Source organism: Homo sapiens, chromosome 2, assembly GCF_000001405.40.
Source record: "Homo sapiens chromosome 2, GRCh38.p14 Primary Assembly".
NCBI lineage: Eukaryota > Metazoa > Chordata > Mammalia > Primates > Hominidae > Homo > Homo sapiens.
The window spans coordinates 190,900,021-190,921,808 of NC_000002.12; the positions used below are offsets into that span (position 1 = coordinate 190,900,021).

Below are 21,788 nucleotides of genomic sequence, written 5' to 3' on the forward strand. Positions count from 1 at the left end.
AAGCATATCAACAGACATTTCATTTAAGACATAAATTAATCTGACTAAACAAAGTTGATATAATTAAGGAAAATATGTTATAATGCAAAATGTTTAATTTTTGAATGAAATGCTAGTAATAGTTATATAAGAACTAAGAGATGTATTTCTGAGATTACTTGGTAAATAAACAAGATCTCAACCTTGGCAGTCTGAATTTTGTTAACCAGATGTCGTCATGCTGAATGTTACCAACTCTGATTGAGTAAGAAGCTTGTTTCAGATGGTCTTAATACTTAAACCTGGTGGAACGCCTTGTCTTAATTTGTGACACAATTTTAGGCACATCCAGATTAATCTCTTACACGTTCAACAGCTTACAAGCAACTACTTGAAAGACTGCTAGAAGGAAAGATAATGTAGAAAGCATAATTTATAGAATTTAGTTGTATAAAATGATAAATTTATCTATTATTTAAATAGTGTCCTAATTATTACTGTTATTACCAAGTTCTGATATTTGAAATGTACCCAGTTTATTAATTATCTTTTTACATTCTACAGATGTGTTCAGAGCAACATTGTTTTGTTGACACAAGCATTTAGAAGAAAGTTTGTGATTCCTGACTTTATGTCTTTTACCTCACACATTGATGAGTTATATGAAAGTGCTAAAAAGCAGTCTGGAGGAAAGGTAATGCTTTTGATGTACATATTTTCATAACCGAATCACTTAATAAATTCAGCTTAATTTGAGGTCTAGAGAGTAAATTGTGTAGTTGTGTTTTGCTAAAGAAAACACTTTAGCTTCGCTTAAGAAATTTAAGTGAAGCCACTGGATTTAGTGTTTTTACGGTATTTTAAATATTTAACTTTGTTATTCTGGTTAAAGAGAAATCTAAGGGTAAGAATTTTTTATTTTCAGATGATGGTGATGGATTTTAAATTTTTAAGTTAAAAAATCTTATTCAGAATTTCTGCAGATCTGATATCCTTCAGTATTAAACGAAATGTTTCTAGTTTTTAAAATCCTGTAAATAATACTAGGAACTATTTGATTTTCATATAGAAAGTTTTCATTTTCTTTTGTTTTAACTTTGGGTAGCTTTAGTATAATCCAGTTGGCCCTTGAACAAAGCAGGGGTTAGGGATGCCAAACCCACACGCAGTCAAAAATCTGAGTATAACTTTTGACTCCCTTAAAACTTAACTACTTATAACTACTGTTATAAGCGTTACCGATAACATAAATAGTCTATTAACACATTTTGTATATTTATTATATACCGAATTCTTACAATAAAGAGGATAAAAAATGGTATTGAGATCATAAGGAAAATATATTTACTGTTTATTAAGTGGAAGTGGATCACCATGAAAGTTTTCATTGTCATCATCTTCATGTTTAGACTGAAGAAGAAGAGGAGGGATTGGTCTTGTGTCTTGGGGGTGGCGGAAGCAGAAAAGAATCTGCATATAATTGCACTGTTTGAAGTTTAAATCCATGTTCAAGATTCAAGTGTATAACAACTTCAGTGTAAATACTTACTACTTACTTTTAAATACTTGATTCCTAATGTTTTAGTGAAACCCTACTAGCACCCATGACCCTGATTAAATAAATTTACTTTTTTCCTGCTTAAAAAAAAAAAAAGTTCAAGTTCCTCTGCTAGACTCTCCTGCTAAACATGAGAAAGAAAGAATGCATTGGAAAATAAGAAATAATAGAGACTGAGAAAAGTCACTTTAGATCTCATAATTCTCAAGTCTGTTTTGCCTTTAGTTTTCATGAGCATTGTTACAGAAGATAGACTATGAAGCCACTGAGTGTTGTAGAATAACTAGTCATTGGTAGAAGGTAAAATGAGATAAGAAATTTGTTGGTGGAAGAAAATACATTATTTGTCAATATTATATCTATTCATTTCTTTCCAATCTTTTGGATAGGTTGCAGATTATATTCCTCAACTGGCCAAATTCAGTCCCGATTTGTGGGGTGTGTCTGTTTGTACAGTAGATGGACAGAGGTAAGTTTATTTCAAATTCATGAAAACCAACTCTAAGCCTTAACTTTTGTATAATGGTGAGAATGACATGGAGAAGATCATCTTTTATAATGGAAATTAGTCCTAACAGGATATAATTTCAAAAGGTAAATAAATTTAAATTTTAATGTAATTTTTAAAAACTCAAACAGTAACATTATATTAAGTTTTATGAGACATCTATTTTATTCACAGTTGTAGTCTTGTTTTTTGAGTATTATTCAAATACCTGCAGTTACCAATTTGTTTCAGAAAAGCAGGCTTGTCAAAACATGACACTATTCTCTAATGAACTGACTACTAATAAAATTAGTCCCTATTTCTCAACTTAACATTGGTAACCCATCTGTCGTTGTCTTTGTTCCTTGTGTTCCTGATAAAATTAGCATGAGAATTAAGACAGTGCAACATAACGTATCCCAAAGTTAAAAGTCAGTTGCAAAACATGTAGGATTTCATGAAGTCCATGAAAGCAGCATTTGGGAATTGCTTACATTGCAGGCACAGCTGCTGACAGATGAGGAACTTGCAGAATTATAAAAAGGATAGTGATGTGAGGGCGCTTTAGAAAGAATGATTTGATTTAAAAATCAAAGAATTAAGAGAGGCCCTTGGAAAATGGTAAAGTTCTAGAATATTTTTTCAAGAATGACCGTGTTCATTGTGCTGGGAATTAGACATAAAGATTGTTATCATCTTATAATTTGGTTTTATTAGAAAATTACGCCAAAGAGAAAAATCAATATTCTTTTTTCACTCATTTTTAAAGACTTAGCTCAGAGATATATTCCTTTGTTTTTTGTTTTTTTATTAAAGTATTTCTGTTTTATCAAAATAGAACTTACATAAGATGTACAACTTGTAAGTGAACACAGCTTGAAAAGTTTATATCAGAGTTGTAATTTTACCTAAATTTCGTTAAAACTACTAAAAGCCGTTTAACCTAGTAATTTTAGATTTTACTTTTCAAGATAATGTTGCAATTAAAAACCTTTTTTCCTTTTATGAAAATTTGATCTTTTATGTTGCCCAGGTTAGTTTTGAACTCTTGGCCTCAAGTGATCTTCCTGCCTTGGCATCCCAAAGTGCTGGGATTATAGGCATGAGCCCCTGCCCCCCAGCCAAAAATCTGTGACTCGTAAGGACCTTCATTTTAGGTGATTTTAATTTTTTTTTACTAATTATCCTCAAGTACTTACAGTAAAAAATATATGGGTTAGCCCATTCATTTTGAAAGTAAGGAATCTGAGGACCATAGTTGACATGATATTGGCAAAGGTGAAATGAACACCTAGGTCTCTTAACTTCTAGTCTATTTTTTCTTTCATTATTATATGCCTTTATCCTCATTTGGGTCAGTAAAATGTACTGAGCAGTCACCATGTGTTGAATTAAATGTTGTGTGCTATGAAGGGACACAATGAAATGAAAAGGCATGGTGACTTTATCCCTTGAAGCAAATTCCGGTAGGGAATGGTATTCCTGTTTTTGCATTTTAGGAAATAATTTATCAAGTAATGGAAGTCTTTGAATTTGAAGAAAATTATTATCATGTAATATTGAATATGATTTTTCTCTTCTTAAACATTCTCTATGTCTCTTAGTTTTTTTATCTAGAGAATTCAGAAAGTTGACTTCAGAACTAGAACATATGTATTTTTAAATCCAAAGGTAGTAAGACAAGCTCTTAATCATTTTTTAGAATGATTGTCAAGTTTGAAGTAACAATCTTATATAGTATAACTATATAGTTTAAGATTATAGTTACACATGAATAAATTTGATAGGAAAAAAATATAGTGCCCAGTTTCATTATGAATGACTTTCACTATGAATGAATGCTTTGTGATGTGTTGGGACATTGTTCAGGGAACCTGGGAGGTATCAGTAAGTAAATCAAAGATCTCTGCCTTTGTGAAGCTTACATTATAATTGGGTTGGCCAGAACTTTTTCATTCCCAAATCTTTTCTCTACTTCATGTACTTCTCAGTTTGGTGGTAATATAAAGCTTTCTTTTTGCTCTGTTATTTATCTGCATGGTAATGATGACTGCCTACTGAACTTAGTGCCAGCTCTGTCATGTTTATAAAACTGGATGCTTTTTTTTTTAATGGGGCCCAGGATTGTGAGTGGATGTGGCTTGCAATATGAGGCATTTGTAGACAGGGTCCCAGAGAATAGTATTGAATCTAAACTGAGTTCTGTTTAACTTTTTAACCATGGTTTAGTCACAGCTTACAGCTCTGAGTTGAAAAAAAGGTGAATAATTTCTAAAAGGGCTAGTTTATTTTATGTGATTGAATACACGTGGGAGTAAGGAGGAGCATGCTCTTACTCTCTTGCCCTCAGAGGAAAATTTCCACATTACATATTTATTATCTACTTTAAAACCATTATTCTGTTACGTGAATACTTTCATGCTTTTGCTTTTTTTCACAGTATTTCTCTTAAAATAAACATAGGTCAATTCTGTATCCATGGGGTCTGCACCCATGGATTCCACCAACCACAGATCGAAAATATTTGAGCCAAAAAAGATGGATAGTTGTGGCTGTAGTAAACATGTACAGACATTTTTTCCTTGTCATTATTCCCTAAATAATACAGTACACCTATTTATATGGCATTTACATTGTATTTGGTATTATAAGTAATCTAGAGATGATTTAAAACACATGGGAAGATGTGTGTAGGTTATATGCAAATGCTATATCATTGTATATAAGGGACTTGAGTGTCCATGGAGTTTGGTATCACAGGGATTCCTGGAATCCACCTCCCACAGATATCAAAGGATGACTGTACTTAAATTTATTCTGTAATTTTGACATAAACTTGTGGTTGAATTATGGGAAAATTTTTGTTGGAATTGTTAACATGTAAAAAGAATAATTCCAACTATGCAGTTACATTTTTTTCCCAGTTGATGTTATTTTTTAAAAATCTCCTTTTAAATAGGCATTCTACTGGAGATACCAAAGTTCCCTTCTGTCTTCAGTCCTGTGTAAAACCTTTGAAATATGCCATTGCTGTTAATGATCTTGGAACTGAATATGTGCATCGATATGTTGGAAAAGAGCCGAGTGGACTAAGATTCAACAAACTATTTTTGAATGAAGATGGTAAGAATTACATAAACATTGGTTGAAAAAAGAAATGTCTCATTTTCCTATGTAAATCTAAGTCGTTTTAAACATTTTTTGATTAAAATTAAAAGTATTTGTCATGTGATTTCTATATAATCCATTGAGAGAGTTTCATCACCTACTTTTAAAAATGATTATTTTAGGCATCTCATACCACTGGGAAGTGGGCTAGGGAGAACATGAACTTCTCTCTTCATAACCACCTTTAGGGAAATATAGCGAAATCTCAAAATACATGAGATTTGCTTTAAAATAATTTAGTTAAGGCAGCTGGGAGTGCTGGGTATGATTATTACTATATGTTGGTAATTATTGCAGCTAAATGATAGGTGCATGGGTGTTTGTATATTATTCTATCTATTATATTGTATATAGTAGTTGAAAGTTTTATTGTGGCCCTGGTTGAGATAGTGAGGATTATTATTTTTCAGTGAGTGTTTTTACTTTTTATCCTTATAACATTAAAAAATTTGAAAGAAATGCTTTGTGTTTAATGCTTGGTTAACAAATCTTTTTACAGGAATTCAAAAGAAAAGGGGAGGACAAAAGTAGTTAGTTTGATCTGATAGAGATTTTAAGTCTAAACATCATTTAGCTGAGTGCAAACTAAGTTAAACTAGTCCCATGGTTTGGTTTCTGTTTTTTAATCTTCTAAGCATATGCTGTGTTTCTGATTGATGAGTTAAGATATAGAATTGAAGAAAGTGAGAGCGAAGTTTGTAGTAATGGCTGTGAGAGATACACTTTTGTACTTTTTTTTTCTGCTGTATAAAAAATGAAATGTGCCTTATACTCATTATTTTATTAGTTTGTAAGATGAAGTCATAAGACTGGTATTTTCTTATGCTTCTCATCCTATTTATTTTGAGAGCAGTTACATTTTCTTTCCCATTTTACCGTAACCTTTTTATTCTGATGCTACGTTTGGTTTTATGGACATTACTGTAAATTAACAACTTCAATAAGGACATCATATGCAGAAGCACTTTATTTACTAAGCTCATTGACATCTAGATTTAATATTGAAAGAATTAATACTGTTATTCTAAAAATACCAAATATTTTAAAAGAAAAATTTAATACTTTTCCATGAACAGCAAAGGAGAATAGACATGTCTAGTGAATTGATGGATTTCGAGGGAGATATTTAAGAAAAAACAAATATAGTAATTTGAATGTTTAGAGGATTTCAGAAACAAAAAAACAAAATGGGCTTGGAGCAAATGAAATTAACAGTATAAGTAATGAATTTTTTTGCCATATATATTTATGGTTTTAGGAATCATGAATTATTGATACTGTATTCTATATAAGAAAAAATGACAAATCAGAGATTTAGAATTGTTTATAATAAGAATAAAACATAAAGTTTAACAAGAGATTTTGCCTCGATATTCATAGACGTTTTCTAAGCCTGAGCCAACACCCTGAGTCTTGAAAGTAACAGTAAATACAGGCTTCACTATATTACACCTTCCTGAATTCTGATTAGAGCCTGTGCTCTTGAGTCCTGATTTAGTTTAGCCCAGCAAAAACAATTTGAAGATCTCGTTCATATTTAAAATTGCAAGGGTAGATTTTTGGTGAAACCATACACTTTTTGTGTGTGTATGTATATATGTGTGTATCTAAAATAATAAATTTTTAAAAAATAAATATATTACTGTTACACCAGCTTTATAAGATTGTGATGATTTATTAAGACTAATAGGGATATGGTAAATAGAGAAATTGTAGTAGTTTTTTTTTTTTTTTTGAGATGGTGTCTGGCTCTGTCCCCCAGGCTGGAGTGCAGTGGCATGATCTCGGCTTACTGCAAGCTCTGCCCCCCGGGTTCACGCCATTCCCCTGCCTCAGCGAGTAGCTGGGACTACAGGCACCCGCCAGCACGCCTGGCTAATTTTTTGTATTTTTAGTAGAGATGGGGTTTCACTGTGTTAGCCAGGATGGTCTCGATCTCCTGACCTCGTGATCTGCCCGCCTCGGCCTCCCAAAGTGCTGGGATTACAGGCTTGAGCCACTGCACCCGGCAGTAGTTTTTAATAACAGTAGTTTTTTTTTTTTTTTGAGACGGGGTTTCACTCTTGTTGCCCAGGCTGGAGTGCAGTGGCGCAATCTCGGCTCGGCGCAATCTCGGCTCACCGCAACCTCCGCCTCCCGGGTTCAAGCGATTCTCCTGCCTCAGCCTCCCGAGTAGCTGGGATTACAGGCATGTGCCACCACCCTGGCTAATTTTGTATTTTCAGTAGAGACGGGGTTTCTCCATGTTGGTCAGGCTGGTCGCGAACTCCCAACCTCAGGTGATCTGCCTGCCTCAGCCTCCCAAAGTGCTGGGATTACAGGCGTGAGCCACCACACCTGGCAATAACAGTAGTTTTAAAATGTTTGCAACATAGAAAGTTTTGGTAGGAGGTGGCTGATATTTTTTATCATTATAAGTGAGCAAACAAGTTACTTTATGGAGATGTCAGTTTTGCAAACTACCATCTCCCAGGGAAGTCTTTTTCTACCTTGTAGTGATCGGGTTAATCAACAAATTATTTATATAGCTTTCCTTGTCTGTATTGTTAACAGCTCTGGAGGGTACATGGGCCTTGCTTCTTGGAATAACTTTTCTGACTACAGGATACAGAAGGCAATTACATATTTCTAATACATAATGGGAGAAGACATACTTAAGCATTGAATACTGTTAGTTGTATTATCTTACAAGTATGTAATTGACAGGTGCCAAAATGTATGTGCTGATTATATGTGTGGAGGATTGAGAAAAAAGAGGAGTTGAGTTAATTTACATGAGGATGACAGGACTGAATTGATAGGATGAATTGTGGATGGTTGGGAAGAATGTGAGAGGGCACTGCACATTTTTTCCAACCATCCTCAATGGGCACTGCACATTCTTCGTAACCATATATATCCCAACCAGATGGAGAATATTTTCTCTATATCTAGAGAATATATTGTAAATGTGTGTAATGTCAGATAATTGAGTTTCCTTAACTCCAGTTTTTATTTGGCACTGTAAAATTCCAATATAATACCGAAAATATAAATATCCAAATTAAATTGGAAATCCTTTTTAATATTTTTCGTTCTTTAGTATATGTATTAGCAAACTTTGCCTCAGCCTCACCTGTGAACAAAACCCTTGTAAGGTTCATATGCTTAGCAGCTTGAAAAGCTTCTTTTGATATAATATGAAAGAATGCTGTGTATTTTATTGCCTTTGGGGAAAATAAATACTTGTTAAAATTGATCTTTTTTTGCATTATAGTTTAAAGCATGTTCATAAATTTCAGATGTCACCCATGTCCATTTTGTCAGTATAACACGCTCTGATATTTCGTTACTTTAAATGATAGCCTTTATTAGTGTTGTAGGTTATTTCTGCCATTCAAAACTTTTTTAAATTAAAAATTCTAAATTAAACCCATCAACTCCATCTTACCTTAAGACAGAGCAGGGAAGCAAGAAAATTTCACGGTCATAGGTCTTAGGCCGAGGTTTTATACTGCAGTTAGGCTGGTGGTGTGTTACATTCTCTCTGGCGGGTTTCCGGATGTTCAGATGTCTGGCTTTTGAGCCAAAGGCAGAATGAGCAATTACATACATCTGAAAATTGGGCTGTCATGCCTTAAAATGATTTAGTGTTCTTTAAGACATCTTGAGTGTAGTATATGTAGCATTTGCAGAGTATTTATCATTTGGAAAATATTTAATACTCACATTTATGTGATACCATTTGGAGTACATAGATTAGCAGTCTTCTAGGACTGTAGAGTCTAAGCCTGATAATGTCAAAAGCTCTGAAATGACAGATAATAAACATCCATACAAATAAAAGTATAAACTAATTTATACTAATTTAAACTAATTTAAACTAATTTGGGATAGGCAAATCTTGATTGTAATAATCAGATATAACACAAAGATTTTATTTTAACTTTTGAAACTTGGCATTATGAATACACCCAAAATGTAGGATATTTTTCTTTTTATTTATTTATTTTTAATTGACAGATAAAAATTGTGTATATGGTATACAACATAGTGATTTGAAATATATATGCATTGTGGAATGGCTAAATCAAAGTAACATACATTACTTCATATATTTATTTGTAATGAGAAGACAAAGTATGCTTTCTTAACAATTTTCAAGTACATATAATACTTGTTATTAATTATATCATGTTATAAAATAGATCTCTTGAACTTATTCCCCCTGTGTAACTGAAATTATGTGTCCTTTGACCAACATCTGGCAATCCCTTCTCCCCCCTCCCCCACTTCTGGTAACCACCAGGTAGATAAATTAAGATGTTGAGGTTCGCTTGTAAATAGATGTTTTCACTGTCCCCAAGATTTTATTTTTGGTGCTTGTGTCATGCAGTGAATGAGAATATAATCAGTTGAGTTTTGAAATTCTTATTTATTGTAAGAATTAGGAGAAGAAATAGGAGTTTGGATTAATGTAAAGTTTTAAGTAACTTTAAAATTATATAAGAAATACAAATATACCTTTATTGTCAGGAAATACAGAAAGCCTAAAAATATCCCCTATAGGCTGTGCATGGTGGCTCATGCCTATAATCCCAGCACTTTGGGAGGCCAAGGCGGGAGGATTGCTTGAGTCCTGGAGTTTGAGTCCAGCCTGGGCAACATAGGGAGATCCTGTCTCTACAGAAAATAAAACATTAGCCAGGTGTGGTATGTGCCTGTGGTCCCAGCTTCTTTGGAGTCTGAGGCTGGAGGATCACTTAAGCCTGGGAGGTCAAGGCTTCAGTGAGCCATGATTGTGCCACTGCACTTCAGCCTGGGCGACAGTCTGAAACTTTGGCTCTTAAAAAAAAAATCCCTTATAATTTTATTATTCTATGTAAATCACTTGTTTGTGTTTTGAAATCCTTCTGTGTATGTGCTTGTATATAAAGATAAAAATAAAGCACTAAGAAAAAAGCAAAATTGAGTACGTTAGCTGTGCTTTTTCCAAGGTCATTTTTAGTATAGTAATATTACTCAAGTGTTTAAGTATTTGAAATAATGGTATTGCTTTTATATTTTACAGATAAACCACATAATCCTATGGTAAATGCTGGAGCAATTGTTGTGACTTCACTAATAAAGGTAAAATGTTGATGTTTCATTTTAACCTAGTAAAACTTTTTTTTTTTAACAGCTAAGGCATAAAGATGAATCTGGGATTATTTATGTAGAATTATGAAAAATTTTCTCTTGGTGTTAAGAAATTTGTCTTATGGTATAGTGTTAGGATCTTTATTTCAAAATAAATGATGTAGTCATTTCAAGGCAAAATTAAAACAGATGACTCATTGTAAATTCCAACAGTCATTTACTCTTGACTTGAAGATCTGGAAAATATTTAAAGTCTGCTGAAGAAAGGCATAGAGGCTTTTTTTTTTTTTTTAAAGTTTTGATATTTTTCCTTTCGTTTCCTTTTGGTTCTTCCAGAATGAACAGTTATAAATAGAATTAAAGGCATTTTACTGTATATTTGTTATTAGTATATGTGGGAACAAATGTTCTGGTACTTAAGACAAAGTACATTTACCCTCAAATATTCTCAAGTCTTTGATACTCTCATGAGCTGAAATCACAGTTTTTATTGGAACTTGTTTCATTTGGTTTTACTTAAATCATGCCATAATTAAAATAAATAAGGCTTATTCCAATTATGGAGTTATATTTTCTTATGCTTTGAAATTTGCATTGTAAGGGTTTTTTTTTTTTTTAGTGTTTGGTTTGCGTTAATAATTGGAAGATCTAGTATTTTAAAATAAGTATTTGAAAATGGTTCCTGTGTGATAGATTTTTAAATCTACCACACGATTTTAGATGTTTCAGATTTTTAATTTCTAATTATAAATTTTATTTATATTTAAATAAATTTTATTTATGTTTGGAACATTTGTATACTTCTTTGGTAAATCTGTGCCTATCTATTCCAAGTTAGAGGAAAGCATAACTACATGGCCTTGTAAATGCATTACTGTGGATAAGGTACCCTGGTTACATGAAGGATATTTGAGTATAAATGATACCCTTGGCCCAGTTCACAAAATTTCATCTAACTTGTATACTAGAAAGCCTTTCTTAACTTTTAAGAGTTTTATATCTGTGAGAAAAAGCTTTTAAAATAGAAGGCTGGTATCTTAAGAATCTATATGTTTACTTGTTACTTCAAGGCAAATTCTTTGAAAGTATTGGCCCATTTAATTCTTATAACTCTAATGAAGTAGATGTTATAGCCAAGTGTTTTTAAAATGTAACTAATTGTAATAGGATATGGAGAAAGCTGTCAGTTTGAGCTGAAAGAAACTTGAAAATGCGATTATTTGCAAGGCACAGTCCTAGCTTTAGGTAGCTTACTTTGTAGTGTGGGATATGCAAAAGTAAATGGGTCCTTATAAGAAAATTCAATAAATGCTGTGATGAGAGAAAAGCCTCATTAATAATTGCTTAGATTTGAACAAGTAACTTAAAGTAGAAATAAGGAAACACATACTATAATGTATGTGTTAATGCTTGATGACAAAAACACCAAAAGTGTTTCTTCCCAGAAAAATATCCACATACCATAATTTTACATAAACTTTCAGGTGTTCACTACTCTTCGAGGCTGATCCATGGGTCCTAGTTTAAGAACTTTTAAACTGAAGAGAGATTAACATACACTACGCATAGTCTCAAAAGGGCTTATGTAAATAATTAATAGAAGACTTCCTTCACTGCACACAGTTAAAAATCTTTCATTTAATGATTCATGGGTTTAACAGACTACACCGAAATGCTGCATGTGGGAATTGCATGTCTGGTTATCATATCACACTATCATTTCATTAGTTTCACTTGCCATGTTTAGTCATGAGTCATAAACTATACATTGAGCTGCATTTTAGTATGAGTGATTATAAACAAAGTTAAAAGATACATACAACATAAGTGTGGTTCAGTGTTCAACAGTGCAAAAATTTAATTGAGTCATCTTGTACCTACAAATTTGATCAGTGATTTTCATAAAAATTTAAATTTACAGGCAAAGTTGGAAATGAGGCTTCAGGATATGGTTTATATTTAAGGTCACTTTCTCCTGAGTTTTTGTTTTGTTTTTAGCATGTGTTTCACAAGTGCTTTTTTTTTTTTTTTTTTTATGAAGTTCATACAAATCTTGGAGAGCAAAGCCTGATATAACCCTATGTAAAATTGAATGCCCCAGAATATGTAATATTTTTCTTAGGATCTTTTAGGGAAAGGATTAAATTCATATAAATATCTATAATGTGATCTCTGCAAATTGTATGATCACATAATATTTATAAATTGGTATTGGTTTGAAATTTAGGTAATAAAACCATAGCCAAAAGGCCTTAAAAATTGTCAAACCCAGTTCTCTTACTTTATATAACGGAGGAAACTGAGAACCTGGCAAGGTTGTAACAGCAGTAGAATTGGACTTGAACTAAATCTCCTGATACTCAATGTGCTGTTCATTACAATTCACTCTGCCATATTTAACGTAGGTGTTTGCCATTTCTCTTGATGACATCTTTAATTTTAGTTAGCATAGTTATATTGCCCCAAATGCAGAAGTACTATTTCCTTAATTTGAACTGGTTCAAACGATAACAATTTATTGGTTTAAAAGTTGTATCTCATTTGATAGCAAGTGTTACGTAGTCATTCTTCGGACATTAGTCAGTAAAGAAACAGGCCCTTTTCCAAGATGCTTGCATCTGAGTACCCAAAGCCACGGATATTTCACCATGGCTACTAGAGGTGAATTCTGTTTTTAGCTCTTTTAATTGATGACCTTAAGGCTATTTGTGATTTTTTTTTTTCTTTCAAAATTCAGGAATTTATCATGGTGCCATTAAAATCATTTTCTTCATGTTAATCCCCCCACCCCAAAATTAAGTAGAGTCTTTAGTAAGACTCTTGATTTCATAATTTTGTAGTATTGATATTTTTTCCTTGTAGGATTGGTGGTGATCCTCAGGAAATGGGGGAAGAGGCAGAGCAAATGTTCAAAAGGATTAGCAGATTGTGGAAAAAAGGAGAATTTGGACAGAAGGAGCCTGTTGCATAAATTCTTAACTACTAAGCTTATAGGAAAACTCCAATATTTAAAATTTTAAACAAAGCTATATAGGTAAATACCTTTTTAAAAACAAATGTAATTTTATACTTAAAATGCACATAATTTTTAAAAATCATAAGGGTATTATACTTCCTCTCTTTTTCTCTGTGGTAGCTACTAACTTTAAAGGAATACTTTTTGTTGTAATCTGTTTTATTTGGGATTGTGATAATGTGTGATTGCTTGATTAAAAGGAAAGAACAAAAATAAATTTGAAAGGAACAGTTATTTTTATATGATGTAGCAGTATCCTTACGTATTTGTTTTCTTTTCACTGGTAAAAATTTCACGTAGTTTTAGTTTAAAAGTTAAGATCTGGTGATAACTTAAGGGTTAGGATAGGAAAATGAGGACAACATACTGCAAAATAATTGCCACACTTAATGCTTTTTCATGTTAGAAATAGTAAAAGTTACACTGTCTTCTATGTTTTTACCTCTCAGAGTTTTTTGTTTTTTGTTTTTTAGAGACAAGGTCTCTCTCTGTTGCCCAGTCTAAGTGCAGTGGTACAGTCATAACCCACTGCAGCCTCAAACTCCTGTGCTCAAGTGATCCTGCCACCTCAGACTCCAGAGTAGCTGAGACCACAGGCACAGGCTACCATGCAGGGCTAATTCTTTATAAAGCTAGGGTCTTGCCATATTGCCCAGGCTGGTCCCAAACTCCTGGCCTAAAGTGATCCTCCAAGTTTGGCCTCCCAAAATGCTGGGATGACAGGCATTAGCCACTCTACTTGGCATGCCTCATTCTAGTGGTAGTTTCCAGTTTTTGTCATTTAAAGAAGTTCAATTTTCTTTTTAATCAAAAGTATTTTTGAATTTTAAAAATTAGGGTTTTTTTTCTTTCTCTTTAAACAATTTGTAATCATACTCATTGAAAATCAAGACAAGCTTAGTTAATGTATATGTGATGTTCAGTTTGGTTATGTTAGCAATAACCTGTTAGGCATGCTTATAAGACAGGTTTTTAAAGTAGTTTGTGACTCTCAGAGTAATGCATGATGCCTTGGACTTGCAACATTCAGAAGACAGGATTATATTGGTTTATTTACTTCTTGTTTATATCAGTTTATGCTTTAGTTTTTTTTTTTTAATGAAAGGTAGAGCATTTATTGTCAACTGAAAATTGTTCTGTTACTTTATTTTTAGGGTTGATCTATGAAAATACTAGATCTAGAAAAACATTCTTTTTTACCTGGAGTGTCTTATTTTTTATTTTCCTAATACTCTTTAGCTTTAAACCATTTTCTATCATAAGACTAAATTAAGAGTATTTCACAAAATCGTTTTTAGTTACCTCTTTTTGCCTTTTTCCTCTATGATCTCTAATTTTTAATTGGCTTGCACCTCCATACTTTATGAATGGAATCAAGTGCGATACTTACAAAATAACTCTGATGCATTGATTTTAAATGAGCCATTTTATTATTAAATTTATTGGCAGATGTCCTTGTTAACAGTGTTTTTCACCTGTTATAAAGTATAATACATGAATCAATTCATAAATATGTTGTAAAAACTATAAAACATTGCAATATAGTTACATTAATTTTTTAATAGATAATGTTAAAACTCAGTGCCTCTATCAAATTTTCATTCATACAGTATTCTTCAAAGGAATGTAAATTCTGTAACTTGACAGGCATATTTACAGAAAAATTTTATAATTTACTTTTTTTTTTTGAGACGAAGTCTTGCTTGTCGCCCAGGCTGGAGTGCAGTTCTGCCTCCCAGGTTCACGCCATTCTCCTGCCTCAGCCTCCCGAGTAGCTGGGACTACAGGCGCCCGCCACTGTGCCTGGCTAATTTTTTTTTTTTTTTTGTATTTTTAGTAGAGACAGGGTTTCACCATGTTAGCCAGGATGGTCTCCATCTCCTGACCTCATGATCTGCCTCCCTCAGCCTCCCAAAGTGCTGGGATTACAGACGTGAGCCACCGCGCCCGGCCTAAATTTGTATAATTTTCTGGTACCAGAATCTGATTACCCTTTTCAAACAACCCATATGGGTTTGTTTTTTAAAAATCATTTGGTGAGTGGATTAGAAATTTTGATAAGTATATTTCTTCCAATTTGGTTTATTTTAAAAATGTTTCTACTGTATTTACTACAAATGATTATAGCTTTTTCAAAAATAATACAGTATCTAATAATGCTTGTACAGTGATCTTCAAACTGGGATAAATATATCTTTGGATTCCATACTTGGAATTCTTTCCAAGGAATAAAGGGGCATTGACAGTTTTAAGATAAGTCAGTTTCAAAATCTGTTTCTAGATGCGCCTTTTAAAAAATTAATCTGCCTTTAGTCCAGGTGTCCTCCTATTTTCCAAAAGAAAGACATAGTCTCATGTCTTTCAAATTTTAGTACAGTGCACTGCTTCACATTGTAAAAACCTCAGCCCACCAGCAAAAGAGGACATTTTGAAATATTAGAGTCAGTGTTATTAAGGGTGTGAACCATTGTAATAACTGGTAATAAGTCCTGTTATATACTAGGTTGTTTCCAGTTCTTTGGTTTCAGCAAAATCGAAAGGGAATCTTAAGTTGTCAGTCAATAGGAGCATTAGCATAATTTTTGAGGCTAGAGTACTGTATGACTTTTGGCATGTAATGAGCTGGAGGCATATAAAGAACTGAGTAACATTGCTATAATAAAACTTTTAAAATTTCAATCTACTTGTCTATTATAAGCAATTCACACCTCTGTAAAAATTAAAAATCGGAAGAGAATTAGTCCTGAGTTCATTCTAGCAATAGAAGATATCCACTGATATATGAACTAAAAATCAATTACTGTTTCAAATGGGAAAGAAAAATACTCAAAAGGAAAATCTTACAAATTAGTATGGGAAATTATTAGCAAATAAATATTTTTCCTTTAATTTTTTATTGTGAAAAAATTCAAACATACAAAATACACGAGTATGACCAGCTCTCATTTATGCATGCCTAGCTTTTATTTTTGTTAACATCTGTTTCTCCACCCAGCTCACCCCACTACTCCATAATGATAAAGATAATGGATTTTTTATCATTTTTAGTTTTGATTTTGCATTGGGGGTGGTTTACTCTCTTTTGTATATGTAGGCATGTGCTTTTCCTAAGAGCTTTGCAAATAAACTTTTTACTGTAACTTTTTCAGAATTAATATGACATGTTAATGATTATTAGATCTCATCTATCCTTGGGGTACATGGAGTCGTTCCAAGAGATACACAAGCAGATATAGTTTATTGACTTAAGTTAAATGCCATTTCCAGGGTAAATAATATGAACAAACAATAATCAAATGCCTTTACATTTAAATGAGGAAGTATGGGGGAGAAACATTCTTTAGTCAATGCAATTATTCAATACAGGCATACCTCAGAGATATTGCAGATCACCTAACTAAAGTGAAGATTGCAAAAAAGCAAGTCATACCAATTTTTTCGTTAACCAATGCATACGGAAGTTGTGTTTATACTATAGTAAGTGTGCAGTAGTATTGCATCTAAAAAAAAACAGTGTGAATACCTTAATTAAAAAATATTTTATAGGTAAGAAATGCTAAGGATCATCGGAGCCTTCAGTGAGTTCTAATCTTTTTGCTGGTGGAAGGTCTTGTCTTGATGTTGATGACTACTGACTGATAATGGTGGTGGTTGCTGAAGATTGCGGTGGCTGTGGCAATTTCTTAAAATAAGACGACAATGAAGTTGCCACATCAATTGACTCTTACTTTTATGAAAGATTTCTCTGTAGCATGCAATGCTGTTTGACAGCATTTTACTCAGAGTAGAACTTCTTTAAAAATTGGAGTCAGTCCTCCAAAACTCTGCCACTGCTTTATGAACTAAGTTTATGGAATGTTCTAACTCCTTTGTTGTATTTCAATGATCTTCAGAGCATCTTTACCAGAAGTAGTTTTCATCTCAAGAAACCACTTTCTTAGTTCACTCATGAGAAGCAACTCCTCATCCGTTGAAGTTTTATCATGAGATTGCAGCAATTCAGTCATATCTTCAGGCTCTACTTTTAATTCTAGTTCTCTTGATATTTCCATCACATGTGTGGTTACTTCCTCCACTTGGACCCCTCAGTCATCCATGAGGATTGGAATCAACTTCATTTGAACTCCTGTTAATATTGATATTTCGACCACCTATGATCATGAAAGTTCTTAATGATATTTAGAATGGTGAATCTTTTCCAGAAGATTTTCAGTTTACTTTGCCCAGATCCATTAGACAAATCACTATTATTGCAGCTATTGCCTTATGAACTGTGTTTCTTAAATAGTAAGACTTGAAAGTTGAAGTTACTCCTTGATCCATGGGCTGCAGAATGGATGTTGTGTTAGCAGGCATGAAAACAACATTATGCTCCTTGTACGTCTCTATCAGAACTCTTGGGTGACTGGTGTGTTGTTAGTGAACAGTAGTATTTTGAAAGAAATATTTTTTTTTTTTCTGGCTGGTCATGGTGGCTCACACCTGTAATCTCAGCACTTTGGGAGGTTGAGGTAAGAGGATTGCTTGAGCCCAGGAGTTCAAACCAGTCTGCTCAATATAGTGAGACTCCCATCTCTATTAAAAAACAAAATCTTTTTGAGCCGTAGGTTTCAACAGTGGGCTTAAAATATTCAATAAACAAGGTTGTAAACCGATGTGGTCTTATCTAGGCTTGTTATAAGCCCAGGCAGGGTAGATTTAGCATAATTCTTAAGGACTCTAGGGTTTTTGGAATGATGAATGAGCATTGGCTTCAACTTAAGGTTACAAGCTGCCTTAGCCCCTAACAGGTCAGGCTGTCCTCTGAAACCAGACATTAACTTCTTTTGGCTATGAAAGTCATAGATGTCATCTTTCAATAAAAGGCTGTTTCATCTACATTTAAAACCTGTTGTTAGTGTAGTCACCTTCATCACTGAAGTTAGGTAGATCTTCTGGGTAACTTGCTGCACCTTCTGCATCAGCCCTTGCCATTGTTTCACCTTGTACTTTTATGTTATGGAGACGGCTTCTTTCCTTAAACCTCATGAATCAACCTCTGCTAGCTGCAAACCCTTTTCCGCAGCTTCCTCAATTCCCTCAGCCTTTATAGAATTGAAGAGAGTTAGGGCCTTGTTCTGAATTAGGCCTTGGCCTAAGGGAAATTGTAGCTAGTTTCATTTTTTTTTTATCTAGACCACACAAATTTTCTCCATGTTACCGGTTATGCTGTTTTGTTTTCCATCATTTGCGTGTTCATTGAAGTTCCATTTTTAATTTCCTTCAAGAACTTCAAGAAATGCAAAGGAAACTTCATTTACAACTTGGCTAACTTTGGTGCAAGAGGCTCAACTTTTGGTCTGTTTTGGCTTTCAACATGCCTTTCTTACTAAGCTTAATAATCATTCTAGCTTTTTAAAAGTGAGAGATATACAACTCTTCCTTTCACTTGAACATTTAGAGGCCATAGTAGGGTTATTAATTGGCCTGTTTTCAATATTGTTGTGTCTCAGGGAATAGGGGTCCCCAAGGAGAGGGAGAGAGATGGGAATGAACAATCAGTGAAGCAGTCAGAACATATACAACATTTATAGGTTAAGTTGGCCATCTTATATGGACATGGCTTGTGGTACCCCAAAACAAGTGTAATAGAGCAAAAATGACTGATCACAGATCCCCATAAGACATCTAATAATTATCAAAATGTGACACAGAGACACAAAATGAGCACATACTGTTGGAAAAATGGTGCCAGTAGACTTACTTGATGCAGGGTTATCACAAACCTTCAATTTCTTAAAAAATGCACTATCTGTGAAACACAATGAAGTGAAGCTCAATAAAATGAGGTGTGCCTGTATTTTCTTTTGCTCTATTTACATAATCTGTCTAGAGAATGTTGAGTACCCAAAATGTTATACTGTATAATGCTAGACATTGGTAAATACCAGTTGTTTCTTAAAAACAACGTTAAGAGCAAAACTTAATTGTGCTTTAATTTAGTAAGTCACAAAATAGACCAATTATGTGACCATAGTCTAGAGTTGAATGGTTTTTATTTTTGTGTATTAAACATGACAGCCCAATGAAGAAAACTTGTAAGAGTTTTATAGGGTACAGTTTAGGTCACAGAATGAAGTTCAACATAACTTGTTTATTTTACATTGATTGTTTAACCAGTAATTATCCATATGACATCCCAATGCAAATGCTGACATCCATTTCCAAAAGAGTTGTTTTTTTGTGCTTTTTCTAAGGTTACAAAGGTTTTTGTGGTTTAAATGTTGTTACATATTTTACAGCATTAGGATCTATGGAATATTTTGACAACTGCAACAGTTCAATGAAGTTGGTAATTTCTTCTTTTAATTATTTTTCATTGAACAGCTTTGGAGTTACATTTCTACATTTTGATTTCTGGTATATTATAAGGAAAGAAAAAATTATGTCAAAGGATACTTTAGAGAAAATACATAGATAGTGATTACAATATGGCTGTAATTAAATTATCCTTAATCTTGTTGAAGTTTTGTTAGTGCCTAATTTTGATGAAATAGTATGGTGTTCCTTCCAGCTACTGATTGTATATATGTGATTGCACATCTTTCTTAAAAAAGTGGATTTGTAGGTTTTCACATATTGTCAGCCACACTCTAATCCTCTTGTAAAGAATGAACCTGGCTTTATTCAATTAAATAATTCTCTGGTACAGGTTTTCCTCCCATAATATTTTAAAGTACAATGTTTTGGGTTTTTTGAGGGTAAAGTAAAAGAAAATATGTTTTAAAAACTTTAGTTGTCAAATTATTTTATTTTAAGCCTATTTTAGAAATTAGAGATGTATTGTTTCTTTTGGGTGCATATCACCAATTAATACGTTTGATTTCAGATCTACAACTTACTGCTTTGTAAACTTCGCCGAGGTAAAATGAAACCATTTGGCTACTTGAACTGATCTACATTACATAGATTTTTCCTATTGACATTTGCAGTAGATAACATGTCAGAAATGAAAGTGATGAAACAATACATCTTCCATATTCTGAATTGGCATAATGCTAAATACAACAGAAGCTAATTTTTTAGAGACTGTGAAATATAATTTTTTTTAGTTCAAGTATATTATAGCAAGTGAGAGCTATTAAGAATAGAGCTTTCTCTGCAGTAGTAAAATGCAACCAGAATGTTTGCATATACTGGAATTAAAAGATTAGTTTTGCAACATAATTCATTTTTCTAACTCTGATATTAGTTTAAGGATTTAATAAAATATAAGTAGATTGTTCTTAATTGAAATATTTTATATATACTTAATTCTTTTCGAAGGGTGAAACTTTATTTTAAGTTTTTTTAAATATAAGATTAAATAAATAACACATTTTAGCAAATTATGTGCTGTCATGAAAGATAAGGGAATTCATGGTAACTTGTATTTAAAATTCTGTAACTTTGGGTTGGGTAAAGATATACTTAAAATAAAGCATTCCCTTTGTAATTCTAATGCATTCTCAACATATGGGTATTAAATAACATGAAAAAAAGTTTATATAAATGTTAAATTACTTTAGAACTATTTCCTAGATTTAAAAATACTAATGCAGTATATTATAATAGTAGCTTTGAAATTTTGATATTGGCTTGAAACTTAACTGTAGTGGTACCTATATTAACGTATTTATGTCTCTTATTTTTTTGCAGCAAGGAGTAAATAATGCTGAAAAATTTGACTATGTAAGTGCAACATGTCATTCAGTTTTCATGCCACATTCTCTATATATTTGTTTTTTGATTACTAATATTCCCTACTTTTGGTTTCTAGGTCATGCAGTTTTTGAATAAGATGGCTGGTAATGAATATGTTGGATTCAGTAATGCAACGTGAGTGTTTTAAATACTGTTTTGTTACGTAAAAACACACAACTGTATTTAGAATTGATCCACTCTCTTTTCATTGGAGGGAAATGAATGATTTCTAAATTACCTGACAGAAACACTTAAAAATACTTTAAATAGTTTTGACAAATTTCTTACAGGTAATCATACAATCAGAAGAGACCCCAAGTTTATCTCAAATTACTGGTGCTTATTCAGTTTTATCTTTGCTTGTAATACCTGTCTTACCTCTCTTCTATTTCTGTTCCAGGCTATCTGGATTTTTACCCCAATTTTTTATTTTAAAATTTGTGAGTCTATAGAAAAGTTGAAAAAATAAATATCTGGAATCTTTTACTTATATTTTCTAATATTTTGTCTTACTTGCTTTTTCTCAATCTCTGTCTCTTTAGATAGATAAAAAATATGTATGTATACCTCTAAACACAAATATGTAAATATATATGTACATAGATTTTTTTTCCCTAAACCATTTCAAATTAAGTTGCAGGCATCATACTTCACCCTTAGATAAGAAAGCACATACAGTCTAAGAATAAGGACATTCTCCTACATAACCACAATACCATTAACACATGTAAGAACGTTAA

The 21,788-nt window shown here is 32.7% G+C and overlaps 1 protein-coding gene across 8 annotated transcripts in view; it reads left to right on the forward strand.

Annotated features, from left to right (window-relative positions):
* The window catches only part of GLS (glutaminase), an 84,732-nt gene that overhangs the window by 19,200 nt on the left and 43,744 nt on the right, over nt 1–21,788 (forward strand). For 5 of the 8 annotated variants that reach the window (NM_014905.5, NM_001437282.1, NM_001437283.1 and 2 more), the window contains 6 exons: nt 544–673; nt 1,927–2,006; nt 4,984–5,147; nt 10,243–10,301; nt 21,004–21,036; nt 21,125–21,183. In NM_014905.5, coding sequence (NP_055720.3) covers nt 544–673; nt 1,927–2,006; nt 4,984–5,147; nt 10,243–10,301; nt 21,004–21,036; nt 21,125–21,183 — 525 coding nt within the window. Of the gene's footprint in view, nt 1–543; nt 674–1,926; nt 2,007–4,983; nt 5,148–10,242; nt 10,302–13,172; nt 13,345–20,194; nt 20,229–21,003; nt 21,037–21,124; nt 21,184–21,788 lie in introns of those variants that run through there. The other 3 variants (XR_007072653.1, XM_047443958.1, XM_047443960.1) reach the window with 3 other exon arrangements.